Here is a 17,939-nt window from a genome sequence, read left to right as displayed (position 1 = left end):
CTTTGTTCCTTCTCTCCAGGAGAAGTCTCTCTCCAGCCTGGGAAACGAATCATGGAAATGTGTCGCTGCACCAAAATGGGGCAGTGTGGGAGTGACTCACTGCAGGAAGCAGCCGCCTGCCGGCAGCTGCGGAAGAGATAGACCAGAGCTGCGAGGACAGAGGATGCACTGGGGAGGGAAGGGAAGGCTTCAGGCACTGGAGCCAACCAGGTGCAGCCGGCTGAGCAGGGCCTGGGGTGCTCATGCCTGCCCTGAGGTCTCAGTGGCCTAGAGGTTCCTCCCTGGGTATTAAAGGAAAGTTACAGCCCAGGGCGTCACGTTACCTAGGCTGGCATGGAGCACAAGGGGGCTTTGCTCAGTGTGCCTAGCAGAGGCTGCAGTGTTCCTAGGGAGTCCAGTGTACATGCTTGGAAATCAGCGAGGCTGGCAGCCGCCAGAGAGCGGCGTCTATACAACCAGATCCTGGGCCTGCCCCAAAAATCCAGGCTGGGAAATAATCTTTACTGTGGAAAAGAAGAAACAGGAGAAATTACTCTTTTAGCAGAATGGTCAGGGTGGCAGCCCCTGGAGGTACAGCTGCATACAGCGTGGCATGTATGAAATAGGTCAAACACTTACACAGGGCCAGGCAAGCTGTGGCTGCAGCCTCAAAGCAGGAGGCCAGAGACCTCTCTCCACCACAGACAAGCAAAATGAGTGTCTGCAATCACTCAGCGGCCAAAGGTGGGACTGTGTCACATTGCTTCAAGGTGGCTGCTCTAATTGCTGTCACCAGAAGGCTCATACGCATGTTCCTTTAAGATAAAAGCCCGTCAGGCCTTGGCTTTGGATTCCTTTGTGAGCAATTCTCTGTGCTTTCTAGAATTTGGGAAACTGAGACATAGGTAGCAGGAAGGATGTACTTACTGGAGACTGAGTCCCCCACTGGGACTGAGGGGGAAGTTTGGCTGTGCTCTGAGAGGGCTGAAAGCAGCAGTTTCTGGTGGCCTGGAGATTCTGCCTGAGTATTTGCCACACAATTCTACAGGGCTAAACAAGAGGCCACCACACACACCACTGCCACGTGTGGGAAATGTAATGGGGATGGGAAGAGGAATGGAGTATGCACCACAGCAGCCATATCGCAAAGGAAACATTTCAGAAGTGAAGGGGATTTAGGAAATACACATTTGTCCTCTGACTGCAATCTGATAGGGGGCTTCTTTAAAGATTTGTAAAAATCACCACACATTGCATATTAGACATGAGTGGTCATGGTTTCAATAATACATATTCGTTCGTTCATTCATTCATTCATTCATTCAACAGCTTTACTGAACATCTAGTACTGTGCTGGGCCCCTCCTGGGCACTGGGGACACAGTAGTGGGCAGAACAGACACACACCCCTGCCCTCAGGGAGCTTACATTCTAGTCGAGGGGGACACACACAAAAGAACAAAATAATTAAGATCTGAAGCGTGCCAGATGATGGTAAGTGCTGTGGAGAACATGAAAACTGAGAGGAGAGATGGGGCGCTGTGGGTGGGAGATTAATGTAAGGTATGGTGATGAGAAAGACCTCACTGAAAAGGAGACATTCTAAACCTATAGGGGACTGGGGAGTGGGAGGAACCAACACAAGAGACTGAGGAGGAGAAGCCAGGGCAGTGGGAGGACAACCGGAGGAAGGACGTCCTGGAGCCAAAATGAAAGAGGTGTTCCAGTGGGAGGGGGGATCCCCAGGGCAGGTCATGCTGAGATGACCCCTGGGAGCTACAGCCCATGGGGAGCCTGGTGGGAAGGGTCGGGAGATGAGGAGTTGGAAGTAGCAAATGCACACACTCCTTTTGAAGAGATGGAGTGGCAAGTGGAAGGGGATTTGGGATTAAGAATTTTCTTGATTTATTTATTTATTTAAATTTTTTTTTTCTTTGAAACAGAGTCTCTCTCTGCTGCCCAGGCTGGAGTGCAGTGATATAATCATGGTCCACCACAGCCTTGAACTCCCAGGCTCAAGCGATCCTCCTGCCTCAGCCTCCCAAGCAGCTGGGACTATAGGCGCATGCCACCACGACCAGCTAATTTTTAAAAATTTTTTGTAGAGATGGGGCTCGCTATGTTGCCCAGGCTGGTCTCAAACTCCTAGCCACAAGTGATCCTCCTCCCTCAGCCTCTCAAAGGACTGGGATTACAGGCATCAGCCACAACAAAACCCACCTGGCCTCTGGGTTTGGTTTTGTTTGTTTGTGTTTTGGTAAGTTGGGAGAAATTGCAGCGTGTGTGTTTGCTGACAGGAATGATCCAGCAGAGAGGGAAAGGAGGTTGACGTGGAAGAGAGAGAGAGGAGAATTTCTGCTAGAAGCAGTGACAGTTCCTTCCAGCCAGCTGCAGGAAAGGCCGACTGTTTGAGCACACTTGCAGGAGGCAGGTGGATGCGGTGGGGGAGGGGGGTCTGGGAGCTTCACTTCTGGTGGCTTTCATTGTTCCAGAGAACCTGGAATCAAGGTCACGGGCTAAGAGTGATGCACGGAGGGGCTGAAGGTTTGAGGAGCACGTGGGGTATGCAGAGGTCACCTAGCAGATTCCTGGGCAGCATCAAGGGTTCCGTCAAGGTCAGTGGTCATTCTCTTGGTTTGGTGGTCAGTTCAGGTTTACCAAGACTGGTGCTCTTGCACCTTGCTGGAGTCACCAATACTACTGTGGTTTTCTAACAAGCTTTTGCTCTTTGAGCTAGACCCTGGTTCTGAGGCAAGATTAGATTTCTATCTAACCCTTGTGGTCAATTCTTGAGACAAACGAAGCCCAATCTCAATTTTTCATTTCCTCTTTAGGAAGAGAATTTCCCCTTCCCCCCGCTGACTTCTCTCATTGGGGTGAGCATGCTTTACTGAAGGCAGGGAGTGTCTGTCCACCCACTGAGTGAAGGGTGAGAGCCTGGTGAGGATGGTTAGGATTAGGAGGTCACAGAGAAGCGCTTAGGAGAGCAGCTCCCGAAGTGGGGTGGCCAATAGCGTCCCCTTTGGAATTCTGGGGAACGCCGTGATTGAAATCACTATAGATAATTTGAGTTTACAAACTCATTTTATAAAAACTTAAAATAGGCCGGGTGCAGTGGCTCACACCTGTAATCCCAGCACTTTGGGAGGCCGAGGCGGGTGGATCACCTGAGGTCAAGAGTTTGAGACCAGCCTGTCCATCATGGTGAAACCCCATCTCTACTAAAAATACAAAAGTTAGCTGGGTGTGGTGGCATGCACCTGTAATCCCAGCTACTAGGGAGGCTGAGGCAGGAGAATTGCAATGAGCCGAGATCATGCCACTGCACTCCAGCCTGGGCAACAGAGCAAGGTTCTGTCTCAAAACAAATAAACACATGAATAAAAAAACCCAAAAAAACCCAAAACTTAAAATAGGCCAGGCATGGTGGTTCACGCCTGTAATCCCAGCACTTTGGGAGGCTGAGGCGGCAGATCACTTGAGGTCAGGAGTTTGGGACCAGCCTGGCCAACATGGTAAAACCCTGTCTCTACTAAAAATACAAAAACTAGCCTGGCGTGGTGGCATGTGCCTGTAATCCCAGCTACTTGGGAGGCTGAGGTGAGAGGATGGCTTGAGCCCAGGAGTTTTAGGCTGCAGTGAGTGGTGATGGAGTCACCGCACTCCAGCCTGGGTGACAGAGGGAGACCCCAACTCCCAAAAAAAAAAAAAAAAAGTTAAGAACAACTTAAAATAGCAATACATGCACATGGTGTAAACATCAAAAGGGAATGAAATGAAATGCAAAGTCTCCCTCCTGCCCTGGCCTTCAGCTGCATGCTCTGGAGGCTCTCCGGAGAGAGCTCCAGAGGCAGCCATTTTTGACAATGTCTTGGGTTCCCATGGATAACTGTAGTGACTGCTGGAAATGTAAGAGGAGTGTGTGTGGCTAGGCCCATCTCAGCAGGCTGCAGATACTTACTTGGGAAACTGGATGTCTATGAAATTCTTGGGCACATATCCTTCCTGGCTCCCAAGCTCCGCCTTAAACCACTCCTCTTGGTTACTTAAAATCTACATGGAAGAAAAGGAAAGACAAAGACATTGGAGGGAGGACACCAAAAAAACAAGAGAAAGGGGCTGCCAGGCAAAGAAGGCCCTTTTGGACTTAGAGGAAAATATGTTAATAAGTTGAAAGAACTCAACAGCTGTTCTAGGATTTACCCCAGGCCTGTGGAGGAGCCGTGGGTTTACCTTTGGAGTCAGCTTCTCCTGACCCCAGGTTATTTCTGTCCACTTGTGCCGTCCACTCATGTCACCCCACTGTGGCTTGGCCTCCCAAATTCAGCACTCAAGGACTTCCCTGAATCCCTTTTTCTATTTTGGAAATTCATTTGTCCCAGTTAGCACCTTAAGTTCCTCATCTCAGCAGATGGTGAGAAGGAAGAATGGTTACTCCACGGTGTATTTTTTTTTTTCTCTTCCAGGTAACCAGGAAACTTTTCTCTTTTTTTTGTTGTTGTTTTTCGTTTTTTTGAGACAGAGTCTTGCTCTGTCGCCAGGCTGGAGTGCAGTGGCGGGATCTCAGCTCACTGCAACCTCCACCTCCTGGGTTCAAGCGATCCCCCTGCCTCAGCCTCCTGAGTAGCTGGGATTACAGGCATGCGCCACTACACCTGGCTAATTTTTCATATTTTTAGGAGAGACGGGGTTTTACCATATTGGCCGGGACTGTCTTGATCCTTTGACCTAGTGATCCACCTGCCTTGGCCTCCCAAAGTGCTGGGATTACAGGCGTGAGCCACCAGGCCCAGGAAACTTTTCAAAAATTCAATTTGTTATTGTTTTTTAAACAGGCAGATTAAAACTTAAACATCCCAGTGGGGCCAGCTTTGGAAACAGTAACTCTTTGTGTTCACATGCTGTGTATTTCACAGATATTTGGCTGGAACCCAAGATACTTGGGATGCCTTTTCTAAACTTGCTTTTAAAGCCAGATCCCAAACAAAACCAAAAGTTCTGTCTTGTTACTCTGTGGCCTGACTTTGACTGTGACCCCAAATGTTATTGTCTACCTCAGTTACTCATATTACTCACCAGACTTGACTGTATGTGGCTTCTGGTTTCTCAAAAAATGAGATTCACCATTAAAAGACAAAATATTTGACACCGCCACTGAGAATGTTTTGAAAGTCTGAGGCCAGGTGTGGTGGCTCGCGCCTGTAATCCCAGCACTTTGAGAGGCCAAGGCACATAGATCACTTGAGGCCAGGAGTTCGAGACCAGCCTGTCCATCATGGTGAAATGCCATCTCTACTAAAAATACAAAAAGGAGCCGGGCCTGGTGGCACATGCCTGTAATCCCAGCTACTCGGGAGGCTGAGGCAGGAGAATTGCTTGAACCCAGGAGGCAAGGTTGCAGTGAACCGTGATCTTGCCACTGGACTCCAGCCTGGGCAACAGAGCAAGCCTCTCTCAAAAAAAAAATTTTTTTTAAGTCTTTGATATAGACTAGAACAATAATTCTAAATAAGGATAGCAGAGCAAAAGATGGAAAGAACTCTGATAATGTCACTGAACCGCTGAATTAGATGATACCCAGGAGCCTTCCTACTTCTGGACTTTGAGAAATTACAAGTCTTTGTTATTGTTTAAGCCATTTTTAGTTTATGTTTCTTGCTCCTGAAAATATCTTAACTGATAGAAGTGTGATGATAAAGAAGAAAGCAGAAATAGATAGAAAAGGCATCCATATGTAGAGGAGAGACCACTTGCCTTGGCAACGAAAGGAGTTACTGAGGCCAAGTCAGATGGCAATGGACTTCCTCCTTCAGCTCTGAGGAGGTGTGGTGTGTTCTGGGAATGAAATGCCTCCAGGTGGCTGGAATGTAGACTGTGAATATCTTGAAATGTAGGGGGAGCCCTTAAAGGATTTTGAGCAGGGAAGTAACAGTAAGAATTAGAGTTCAGAAAGAGCTCTGGCTGGGTGCGATGGCTCATGCCTGTAATCCCAGCACTTTGGGAGGCCCAAGTGGACGATCGCTTGAGCCCAGGAGTTTGAGACCAGCCTGGGCAACAAAGCGAGACCTTGTCTCTATGAAAATAAAAATAAAACTTAGCAAGGCGTGGTGGAAGCGCACCTGTAGTCCCAGCTACTCAGGAGGCTGAAGCGGGAGGAGGGTGTGAGCCCAGGAGTTAAAGGCTGTAGTGAGCTCTGATTGTACCACTGTACTACAGCCTGGACAACAGAGAGAGACTCTGTCTCTAATTAAGAGAGAGCGAGAGAGCGACAGAGCTCTGTATCAGAGATCAGAATGTGAAGATAGATTGCAAGGCTAAAGTCGGCAGAAAAACTGCAGGAAGATGAGCGCAGGCCTCCAGTCAAGAGATGATAGGGCCTAGGCTAAGAGGAGGTGAGGATATATTTTAGAGAAATTCAGGAAGCAAACAGGCAGGATTTCTTGACCAATCTTGGAAGCTAAGGGAGAGGAGGACTCTGGGATGCCACTGGATTTCTGGCTTGGGAGACTGAGTAGGTGGTGACGGCTTTACAGAAATAGAAGATACATGAGAGGAGGCAGGGCTGAGAAAGGGCTCATGGGCTTCAGATTGCATGCGGGTGACTGTGAGTTGAATTCTTCAACTAAGAAGAAAAGCTCAGGGAGCAGCTGGATATGTCAGTCTGGACCCAGGAGAGAGGCTAAGGTTGGGGCTTGGGGTTTCAGAGTCATCAGAAAGTGGGTGGAGTTGAAGTCACAGGGCCCTTGGGCTTCTTTCTCCCAGAAAAGAAGATGGGAAGATAATGGAAAGAACTAAGTGCTTGAGTGGAGATGATGACCTATTTCTAACATCACTCCAAGGTGGAAGGAAGGGGACAGTGTTGTGAGTTGGGAACGAGAAGACCTGGTTTCTAGCTTGGCTCCATCACTAGATATGTGATCTTGGCCAAGTCAATCAGCCATTTGAAAAATGGAGATAATAATAGCCACCTAGCACCTCACAGAGCTGATGTGAGGATCAAATGAGCCCTGGTACCTGAAAGTCCTTCAGAAAGTGTAGACTCTTTTCAAAAAATACAATTCCATCAAATGTGGTATTCTTATGAGGGAGGCCTCCAGCTCTGAATAGGACATGGAAGGGTTTATACGTTCTTTAAAGCATTATGTGTGTATGTTTTGAATTTAGTCATTTATTCTGAAGGAATAAAAGTGTGTCCCATATTTGAGTTTGAGATTGCTGAGAACAGAAAACTTTATAGTTTCTAACATCAAATGTGACTGCTGGTGTCACTAAGGACATGTGGGTATGTGTGTGCTGAGGGGGCAAGGGAGGAAGCAGAAAATCTAGGTCAAAAGAACTAGGAAACCCAGCAGCAGCGCCTCGTAGCCACGTAAAAACACAAGAGCACACTGCACTCCATCCATCGCTTCTGAATTCATGGCATTGGAATTCCTTTCTCCCGTCACATGGGAATGTGGTGTTTGGCCAGGGTAGCAAATGTCACACAGAAAGGGGTAAAAGAGGCCATTTGGAAACTACCTTGTCACCGTAAGAACCACACGTTGAGGCCGGGTGCCATGGCTCACGCTTATAATCCCAGCACTTTGGGAGGCTGAGGCGGGTGGATCACCTAAGGTCAGGAGTTTGAGACCAGCCTGGCCAACATGGCAAAACCTGATCTCTACCATAAAGACAAAAATTAGCCAGGCATGGTGGTGCATGCCTGTAATCTCAGCTACTTGGGAGGCTGAGCCACGAGAATTGCTTGAACCCAGGAGGCGGAGGTTGCAGTGAGCCGAGATTGCGCCATTGCACTCCAGCCTGGGCAACAGAGCAAGACTCTGTCTCAAAAAGAAAAAAAAAAAAAAAAAAACCACACACTTTGTACTTCATTTTCTGACCTGAAAGCAGCTCTGTAATTTTAGTTATCATGCCTCAGACCTCCTCTAGAAACTGAAAGATTATCCCACAATGCCAGCCATTTCTCTCCGCCACCTGGTGCTTGGTCTGCCTAACACTGTGTTTCTAGAGAGGTGAATTTGCAGGCTCTTTACCATGTATAGAAGGTGAGGTTTTTTTTTAAAAAAAATTCTCATTTTCTGCAAAGAAAAGTATTTGAGGGGAGGGGAGATGGTTTCCTCCTGCCGTTGTGGGCCCAGGGCCCCACACTTCCTGTTCTTCTCATCTCTCCATCTGTTCGGTTCCCCCTATCTCGTGTACCCATCGTGTAAACCTGAGCAAGGCGTTCAGCCTGAACACTTGAAGTTTTACTCTTGACTGTTTCTTAATTCTTATAATGTTCCCTAAGAGATGATTTTTTGGGTTACATGGCCTGTGAATAAGTTAGACGTGGGAAGAGAAGGGCCAAATTACGGCTGGAAGAATTTTTAAATTGGATGAAATTGTAGCTTTTAGAAACATAGCAAAAATCTGAAGTATTGAAGAAATGAATTATGTGGAATTAACTCTTAGTGCTTTTAGGTTGCTATTTTAGCAGGAAGAAATGAGGTCGCATTAGCTGCATTACAGAAGGAGACAGAAATGGACTGGGTCAAGAGATATTTTTCAAAGCTACTGGCAAATTTAATGGCAAATTCAAATGTGAGGCTGGTGCTGTGTGTAGCTGCAGGTATGGTGGTTTGTGGCATGAATAGGAAAAAAATCTGATTCCTGAGTTTCCAAATGTTTCCGTCATAGGAGAAGCAGGATCAAGTCATTTGGCAGCGTTTTCCTGTCCACCATCTTGATCTACATGCCGTGTAGATCACCATCTAGTGAGCACCTGCTGATTGCACTTAGGTGCATGAAATATGGAGATAAATAAGCTGGGGCCTCTGCCCCAGGAAACTGATGGTCTGTTGAGGGTGGGTGGCTGCTCAGACTTTTTTGTACCTTTCTAATGAAAACCTCTGTTTAGTCTTTAGCACAAAAGGCCAAACAAGTCAGAGAATCCCAGAAGCGAATTGCTGGGGTAGTCAGGAGCTGGCTTTGAAAGTATTTGTGAGGATCCTGGGTGTGTTACCCATTGAGGAAGGTGGGGGGCAGACATTGCAATCACATGTGGGGAGTCCCAGCCATGGGAACCAATCACCATCCTGTAGACATTCTGTGGGGCTCAGTCAACAAGCCCTCCCCATTTTGCTCTTTACCTGCAATGGACAGAATTTGAAAAGAGGGAGGGGGTTGGCTTTCCAATGGAATTCTAAATGAACAGGAAGAAATGCAATTTAGCAATTCAAGAAATATGTACTGGGCATCTATTTTGGGCCATGACTTGTGTTAGATGCTGTGAAGACACAAAGACGAACCTGGCATTGTGTGCACACGTGCATGACATTGCTCTCAGGGAATGGAGAGGAATTGAAAGTTCATTCATTCGTCAAGTGTCAGGGAGTTCTAGGCACAGCTCTTCTAGACATTGAGGCAGAAACAGCCCCTGCCCTTGCACAGCTTTTGCTAGTGGAGTAGACAACACATAAACGAGCAATTAGGATCCCACGGGGCAAAGGCAGCAATGAGAGGTAGAAATAGAGGGTGCATGAGACCACAGGGTCATGGCCTGCCTATAAATAGCTGCCATGTGAGGCAAAGTCATAAGTGCCTGGAAATGAGTGAAGTTTATGTGAAATGTTGGGGAGGAGCTGAAGAGGGAGTGATTTGTTTCCCTGGGATGGTAGGGAGTGGAGAGGACCAGCGAGGTTTCCATGGTAGAGGAGGTCAAGTATGTGTGTGTAGGAGAGGGGCAATCAGAGTATATAGGGGAGAGGCTGAGAAAGGGCGGTGTATACATTGCAGTGCAACCTGGGGGCGTTACATCTACAAAGATGTCTCTGTGTGGGTGTGTGCACACATGTGTACATGTGCATAATGACACTGGACAGTGGTTTGGGGCCAGATGTTTTCAGTCTCAATCAATTGGTAATTGGAAACCCCTGAATGCTTTTGAGCAAGGAAATGATATGATCTGATTTGTCTGGAAAGATCCCTCTGGGACTAGTAAGAAGAATGAGTGAAGGAGGAAAAAGACAAGAGGTAATGAGGTCAGTCAAGGAGCTGTGGCAATGATCTGAGCAGTCAGAAGCAGCGGGGATGGATGATCCCGATAATGCGGGCCACCATTTATTGGGCGTCTACGTTGGGACAGGGTCATCACCTCGAATCCTCTCCACAACCCGGCAAGATGGATACTACCTCCACTTGCTGAGGAAGACACTAAAGCTCAAAGGGGGCAGATGACTGGGCCCCAGTCTCCATGGTTAGTAAGCTGGGATTCAAACTCAGATCCATCTGACTCAAAGTCTATGCTCCTTTTTACTGCCTCACACTCCTTTCTGGTGAAGAAGAGACTTGCTTGAGAGATATGAGGAAAAAAATACATTCAGAGCAGAGTTTAGTGCTTAGGAGTCAGACAGAGTTCTGTCCAGGTCCTGGATTGGTCACATGCTAGCTGTGTGACTGTGGACATGTGATTTAATCCCTAGCCTCAGTTTCTCATCTATGAAATGGAGGGGAAATGAATGCCTACCTCACAGGTTTGCTGAGATGATGAAATCATGCCTGCAAACCACTTAGCTAGATCCTGGCCCTGAACAGGAGCTCAGGAGACGTTGGTTACTGGTCACCAGGATTTGGTAAAGGAGGCATTGATGATAATTGGGGCTTCTAGCTTGTGACTGACCTAGGATAATAATTAGAACATGGAAAGAAGAGTGGCTTGGGTGGAAATGGGGGTGAGATGGGCATGGGGGTTTGAGTGATTCTCGGCATCCTGAGTTAGGGGCTGGAGTTCATGTGGGGACATCCAGCAGACAATTGGAAGTCTGGGTCTGGAGTTCAAGAGCAAGGCCAGAGCTAGAACACGAGCCACAGACTTGAGGGTCTTTGGCACAGAGGTGATAGTTGCAGCTGAAGAAGTGGATGAGGTGGCTCAGAGTGAGAAGAAAAATCAGAAAGCCAAAGGCAGCACCTTCAGGGAAGTGTATATTTCAGGATCAAGAGAGGAAAAAGAATGCTTGGAAATGAGACCTGTAGGAGTGGTCAGGAAGGGAGGAGAAGAACCCGGAGAGGGTGGTGCTGCCAAAGCCAGGGAGAAAGGGGCTTCCAGGAGAGGGCCAGTTAGCAGTGTCAATCCCACAGACATTTCCATAGGGTCATTATACTACACATTAAGGAGATCACTGGTGAACTTCAAGAGAATGTTGCAGGGAGGGTAAAAGGCAGATTCCAGAGAGTTGTGGAATGAGTGGGAAGTGAGGAAGTGAAGCACGCCCAGTGTAGAGAATTCTTCCCAGTATTAGCAACAAAGGGGAGGAAAGAAATCAGGAGCTGGATTGGGAAGCAGAGTTGAGCAAAGTTTTTTTTTTTTTTCTTTCCTTTTTCCTTTTCTGAGGAATAGAGAAAACTTAAGATACCAGGTTCTCTTTGTAATGGAAGACGAGGGTGGAAGTTGGTACAAGGATGGTCTCCAGTGGATGACAGTCACATGATCACAGTGCCCCACAGAGAAGGCAGGAACTTCTCGCTGCTTGGCAAGTCCCTCCAGGAGCTTCGTAAGACCCCAAAGCAGTGACAGACAGGTTTTCCTGGGTCAGGAGGCCCAACTCATATTTTAAGTTTGTGAAGGCCTATGCTTTGCCACTATGTTACTAGATCTTGAAAGTTGAGAGCAGTTAGAAGGCTACCTAATGGGCATGTTCATATTCCAAAAGAAGCCATTCTGTGGTGTTTTGTGCTCCTCAGACACTTTCAATGTCACCCTCTCACATGCTGACAAGGTTCTTTGTATAACAAACCTAATTCTCGGTGGTGAGACACTAATGGCCTCAGTGTTGCTGGGCGTCCGAGAAGGCTCATTGGGACTGCTGAGGACCAGGGATCAGGCTATCTGAGGACCAGGGATCAGGCTATCTGAGGACCAGGGATCAGGCTATCTGAGGGTGCTCTGAGGTCAGGCAGAGGGGGTCTGGCTCCACACACTCCCAAATGCCCTTTTGAAGGGCTTATGCTCTTTTGCAAACAAACAAAACAAAACAAAAACCCAAGGGCTAAGATGCAGAGTCTGAAAGTATGGTGCATGAATGTGGGAGAAGTCCAAGGCCACTTCAGCTCAGCAAGTGGCCACTACAACTCAAGTGCAGGATGAGGACAAGCTTTAAAAAGCCCCTGAGTGGCCAGGTGTGCATGGCCTTTGTTGAGCCATGTCCTCTGTGGCTGCCTTTCCCAAGCTGTCTCCACCCACAACCTCTCCTCCTGAGTTCCAGCTCTGCTGAGCCTGGCGCTGCTCCCTGCATTCAGCATGGGCTTGCACATCTCTGAGCTTTAGCTAAAAGCCCAAGTCACCTTCAGTGCATTCCTGACGTTCACATTGCACACACTCCTACAACCCCCATCTTTCAAGATGGAATCACTTGTTCCCTCACCTGTGCTCCCTGAGAACTTAGCCAAGAACATCTGTAACAGCCCTTTGGGTGGATGTGTTCCCCTCTCCAGACTACGAACCTCCCAGGACAAGGATGGTGGCTTATGCCGACTGTATTTCCATCACCCGGCCTGGTTGGTGTCTGGTATAAGGGTGCACAAAGGGAATCAAGGTGAACTTCTCTTTTTAAAAGGAACCACATGCAGTTCTTAAGAGACAAAGGCAGGGACTGTCAGATTACTGAGTAACTGAAACTCCCTACTGCTCCCCTGGGGCCCCAGGTCACCTACCTTCAAAACATCTCCAGTGTGAAAGCTCAGTTCATCCTCACCTGAAGCAGTGAAATCAAACTTGGCAACAGCTTCCATGCTGTAACGTGAAGCTGGAAGAGAAATAATGTGGTCATTGTGCCTCTCTGCCAGGGGGAGGGCAGCAGAGCCGATGGTGCTTCCTGGTAATCAGCAGTTCCTAGGAGAGTGGGCAGATGGATGTCTCCAGGCCGGAGAGCAAGGCTCAGGCACACAACAAGGGCTTGTGTTTGCAGGAAGAGCTGCCGGAATCTATAGGATCTAGGTCCTGGGATCATTCTCGGAATCCCCAGATGCCAGGAGCAGGAAATGAAGGCCATCCGCAGCCTTTCCCTTCTCCTTTCATCATCCTGGCCTGACACCACTTTTGGGGGCATCTCTGTTTGCAGCTGATAAGGAGGGAAGGCTTGCTATCATCTGTAACTTGAGGCCTGAGGGGCTGGAAAGACTATTCTGTAAACACTGTCCCAAGGCTGTCCCTTGGCAGCTATATTTAACCAGGCAGTGTTAATTAGACGGATGCCATTTCCTCTTTTACATCTGAATCATTTAAGAGAATTAGACAGCATTGGCCAGTGGGGAACTCAGCTTCCTTCTGCATGGTTTGGGAGTAGAAAGAAGTTCTTGGTCTTCGAGTTGGGAGGCTCAATTGGTCAGATTACTTATTTTATGATATATTATAAACCAAGTACATTTTGGGAATTTTGATTTTAACATTTTTGAATTGAGTTAAAATAGTGGCCCCCTTCTTGTAATGCATGAGACCCATGTAAAGATAAATGAGTCGGCCTATGTAATACATTTAGTATGAACTAGAGCTGTGCTTTAGGAGGCAGCGGGGATGTAATGGTAAGACAGCTGGCTCCAATCCCAGTTTTGTTGGTAGATAGCTGTAGACTCTTGGGCAAGTAATTAAACCCTTGGAGTCTCCATTTCCTCATCTATAAAATGGTGATCATAATATTCAATTAATAAAGTTGCAAGGTTAAATCAAATTATAGATGCAGGCCGGGCGCTGTGGCTCATGCCTGTAATCCCAGCACTTTGGGAGGTCGAGGCGGGCAGATCACCTGAGGTCAGGAGTTCAAGACCATCCTGGCCAACATGGCAAAACCCTGTCTCTACTAAAAATACAAAAATTAGCTGGGTGCCGTGGCACGTGCCTGTAATCCCAGCTACTTGGGAGGCTGAGGCAGGATAATCGCTTGAACCTGGGAGGCAGAGGTTGCAGTGAGCCAAGATCATGCCACTGTACTCCAGCCTGGGTGACAGAGCAAGACTCTGTCTCAAAAACAAAACAAAACAAAAAAATTATAGATGCAAAGTATTACACCAGATAAAGCTAAATAGTATTTACGTTTTAAAATAATTTTATGGAATGAATTTTTCCCCAGCAAAGGTAGCCTGACCAAAATCAGCACAAGTTTTCTTTCCTCACTCCATCTCCTATGAACTTTTCTCATTGAAATTTGAGAACTAATCTCCATGACTATCAAATCCTGTGATTCTCTGCTAAGACAGCTTAACTGTCAGGACAATCTTGAAAGCTGTTATTTTCTTGTTGATCAAAATTTCCCTAAGTTTCAAACCCTTTAGGGTAGAAAATAAATACTCTCCAACCTAATAGACTTTCAGCGACCAGTCAACTGGGACCACATTTGTCCTCTCAGTGGGAATTCCTACCCAAGTTAACAAGATTTGGGTAAATAAGGAAGGTGGCTGCCAGTGAGAGGGTGAAACGCCAGGAGATCAGAGGATTAAAGCCGACTGCAACAGGGTGATAGCAAGGGGCTCATTTCTCTGATTCTCCACAATTGTTCAATCTTTCGAAGGTAATTTATAGAGATGACTATTACCCATTCAAAGGTAGATGTTAAGCAAAAAATAGACCAGGAGCCAAAGTAAAATGTCACAGTTAACTCTTTGAGTCAAAACGTACTCCCAAACAACACCATCACAAATATACTTTTTGTACACTTTCTTCAAGATCCATCTATCGAAGGCAAATTAAAATTGTTGTGACCTAGGACGACCCACTCAACAGGAAGGAGTATTCTGCCCTCCTAAGTTAATGCTAAATGCCTTTGCTGATTTGATTCACCCCATCATTTTAACACACAAGGCTTCTTCTAATTAAGGCCTTGCCTCTAGTTTGCAGAGAGACATGACTTCTGTGGGTCATCCTCATGGTATCAACAGTAGACAGTGGTCGCCTCGTGGGATCAAGTGTCAGGTGAATGGTCCTGAAGACCAAGGTCCCATTTGTATGCAAATTCACCTTAATAAGCAGGATGGAGACAAGGGAAGGGCAAATGCTAAACATATTAGAAAGTTACATAAATTAGAAATGAAAAAATATCCCAGGCAAGCTCTAGATAAGACCTTGATTTGGGGAAGATCTTTCCAACATGACATGTAACTCAGCTCAGGCTTGGGCACTGGGTCCAGGCTGGCTGTAAATCACTTCAGTGAGAAGTGAGAAGGCCGAGGCAGAAGTAAAATTGCTTCTGAATAGCAGCACTTTCCTCTGCCTTCCCCCAGGAGGTAGGCGGTATGGCAAAGCCAACGACACAGCCATGTCACAGAGCTCCCCAGCTTGTAATATTAATCCTGGCTCAAAAAACCCAACTAAACAGGCCCACTCTTTATAAAATCGCTTTGAAAAAATTTGTTTGCTCCCATTTCCATTTGTGAGATGAAATCTGCCCAGCTGCTGTTTGTTCAGGGTGGGGTGGGGTATGTTCTCTTTTTGTTTAAACCACAGGGCTTCAAAAACTCTTCCCTTGAAGCACCCCTAGTAGTAGAGAATAGTAAATATGTCACCCTCAGGGGTCGGTTTTCTGTTTGGTCATAAAAATGCATGGAAATGTATATCCCATTCCTCTATATCCATTAGCATTAATTTTGAAAAGTTTAAAAATTACCACCAGGGAAAAAGGAATCTGATTATCCATTTGTTTTATGATCTGTACCTGCCACCACTACATACTGCATTGGAGAAACAACAACAAAAAATATGATGCAGATATAAACTGGGTAGCAACAATTTAGACAGAGTTGTGGGGGGCGGAGTGCAACAGCCTGAATTCAAGAATGCAATGAAGCCTTCTTGCTGCTGTTTTCAATTTCAGCGCTTCTGACTTCTGAAAAGAGAGACCCCTCGGCCAGGCACAGTGGCTCACGCCTGTAATCCCAGGAGGCGGGCGGATCATGAGGTCAAGAGATGGAGACCATCCTGGCCAACATGGTGAAAACCCCATCTCTACTAAAAATACAGAAATTAGCTGGGCATGGTGGTGTGTGCCTGTAGTCCCAGCTACTTGGGAGGCTGAGGCAGGAGAATCACTTGAACCCGGGAGGTGGAGGTTGCAGTGAGCCGAGATTGCACCACTGCACTCCAGTCTAGCGACAGAGTGAGACTCCATCTTAAAAAAAAAAAAAAAAAAGAAAGAAAAGAGAGGCCCCTTTTTAGAGAACCTCACAGACGGATTAAATGTGCTTTCCCTGCCAGTGATGGGCTTTAGAAATGGCTGAAATGCTACCTGCCCATACAGTGTGAGACGCTGCAGCCTCTAGGGGCAGCCAAACCACCTCCAGCAGCAGCCCCCAACCCCCACCCCGCCAACCTGATAGATGGTGATGCCATTTGTAGGGCCTCAGTGCTAGCTCTGCTTCTCACCAGCCCTCTGCACCTCTCTCGCTTACCCCTTTAAGAGCTGTCACGCAATAGCCATTAGCAGCATGCAGTGTGGATCTGCTTCACCAGAGGGTAATGCCACACAGGACTGCCCTGAACATGATTTTTTCTACCCTTGCCTTTCCATGTGAGCTTCTTTTACTACCAAAAAAATCTTAAAAAATATTCAGGCTATATACCAGGAATGCTTGTCTACTTCTAAAATATAGCCACCACAGAGGATGAAAACAAAAGCCATGCTACAGCTCTTTAAAATAACCTCCATTGGAAACCCAGATTATAAGTGGATTTGTTCAGAAACACGTAGTTACCATCAAAATGGCACCCGGCAAGAAACTTCTTGATCAAATTCAGCTCCTCCTAAGTTGGCTATGAATAGCTAAGGTTTCCATTTTATGTATCTCTTACAAAGGGCAATTGCATAACACCACAAAGCTATGTGAAGATTCAGGCTCAGGACCCAGTGAGAGAAGGAGACAGGTCCTAAATTGCTATCACTTCCTATTTTGCTGGGGAGAGCTCTAATCTGAATACTTGCCCCAGTTTATGTTGTAATTCAGATAAGATAATGTCTTGAAATTTTTTAAAAAGAGAGGGAAACATTGCTTTTTACAAGAATTGCTTGTCACATATTTGTCAGGACATCAGCAACAAAATTAATTAATTAGTTCATTAATTTAGAGACAAAGTTTTCCTCTGTTGACCAGGCTGATGTGCAGTGGTGTGATCATAGCTCACTGCCGCTTTGAACTCTTTAGCTCACAGGATTCTCCCACTTCAGCCTCCTGAGTAGCTGGGACCACAGATGTGTGTCATCACATCCGGCTAATTTTTTTTTTTTTTTTTGGTAGAGATCGGGGTCTCACTATGTTGCCCAGGCTGGTCTCGAACTCCTGGGCTCAAGTGATCCACCTGCCTCAGCTTCCTGGAGTTCTGGGATTAGAGGCATGAGCCACCGTGGTCCAGCCAACAAATAATTTTTATTAGTGTATCTTGTATACGAAATGAAGTAAGAGAATAGTGAGAGTAGTTTACACTTTAGGACTTTGGCTGCTGCTACTACTGAGAGGAGCTTAGTGAAAATGTAAAATTATACCAGCTACTCAACATCACACAATGCAGAGACAGAATCCACAGCCTTGTTGTTCGACAGGTAAAGCCCCTCTCGGAGACAGTAGAGGAGAGTGCCGCCTCCCCCAGTCGAATTGACAAGGTCAGCTTAATCACTTTTCAGAAGTAGGAAACCTTATACTGCCAGGAAAAATGATTACAGTTAAGCCTCACTGTACACAATAGGTATATTCTTGAAAAGTTATAATGAATAGAGTATTTGTAAATGGAATCATATTAGCATGTATTATGGAGGCTCACTCTATAAAGGAACCCTGTGGTGAATCGCTTTATAAAATGAAAGGAAAATTTGTTATGCAAATAACTACCTTTTAATTTATCTGTTTTAAAGTCAGGGTTTTCATGCATTGAGTCTTAAAACAGAGCACACCTGCCTATCCCCTCCAGCTCTGCACACTGTGGGCCAAATAAACATTTGTTTCCCCTCC

General features: G+C 46.5%; 1 protein-coding gene across 9 annotated transcripts in view, besides 5 other annotated features; it reads right to left on the bottom strand.

Moving 5' to 3' along the window:
* GRAP2 (GRB2 related adaptor protein 2) overlaps window positions 1-17,939 on the bottom strand; it is a 79,902-nt gene that overhangs the window by 13,872 nt on the left and 48,091 nt on the right. For 5 of the 9 annotated variants that reach the window (XR_007067995.1, XR_007067996.1, XM_047441607.1 and 2 more), the window contains exons 2-3: window positions 12,666-12,757; window positions 3,940-4,031 (exon numbers count right to left, since the gene is read on the bottom strand). The exons of 2 other annotated variants lie outside the window; for them this stretch is intronic. Coding sequence is in view for 4 of the 7 variants with exons in the window: in XM_047441607.1 (XP_047297563.1) it covers window positions 3,940-4,031; window positions 12,666-12,743 (170 nt within the window). In the remaining 3 variants the exon portion in view is untranslated. Of the gene's footprint in view, window positions 1-3,939; window positions 4,032-12,665; window positions 13,034-17,939 lie in introns of those variants that run through there. 2 more of the 9 variants (NM_001291825.1, NM_001291826.2) reach the window with 2 other exon arrangements.
* Window positions 306-807: an enhancer, noted in NCBI's record as "H3K4me1 hESC enhancer chr22:40355047-40355548 (GRCh37/hg19 assembly coordinates)". NCBI's record gives its function as "activates a minimal SCP1, AML or CMV promoter by ChIP-STARR-seq in primed H9 embryonic stem cells {active_cell/tissue: H9 hESC(primed)}" and the evidence as "EXISTENCE:reporter gene assay evidence [ECO:0000049][PMID:30033119]".
* Window positions 2,600-2,659: an enhancer, noted in NCBI's record as "active region_19078". NCBI's record gives its function as "activates an Ori minimal core promoter by ATAC-STARR-seq in GM12878 lymphoblastoid cells {active_cell/tissue: GM12878}" and the evidence as "EXISTENCE:reporter gene assay evidence [ECO:0000049][PMID:35858748]".
* Window positions 7,870-7,929: a silencer, noted in NCBI's record as "silent region_13764". NCBI's record gives its function as "represses an Ori minimal core promoter by ATAC-STARR-seq in GM12878 lymphoblastoid cells {active_cell/tissue: GM12878}" and the evidence as "EXISTENCE:reporter gene assay evidence [ECO:0000049][PMID:35858748]".
* Window positions 8,030-8,199: an enhancer, noted in NCBI's record as "active region_19077". NCBI's record gives its function as "activates an Ori minimal core promoter by ATAC-STARR-seq in GM12878 lymphoblastoid cells {active_cell/tissue: GM12878}" and the evidence as "EXISTENCE:reporter gene assay evidence [ECO:0000049][PMID:35858748]".
* Window positions 8,964-9,203: an enhancer, noted in NCBI's record as "active region_19076". NCBI's record gives its function as "activates an Ori minimal core promoter by ATAC-STARR-seq in GM12878 lymphoblastoid cells {active_cell/tissue: GM12878}" and the evidence as "EXISTENCE:reporter gene assay evidence [ECO:0000049][PMID:35858748]".

The sequence above is a fragment of the Homo sapiens genome, chromosome 22 (assembly GCF_000001405.40).
Source record: "Homo sapiens chromosome 22, GRCh38.p14 Primary Assembly".
Lineage (NCBI taxonomy): Eukaryota > Metazoa > Chordata > Mammalia > Primates > Hominidae > Homo > Homo sapiens.
The sequence above is the reverse complement of the archived record's forward strand: the minus strand, read 5'-3'. Positions and strand labels throughout refer to the sequence as shown.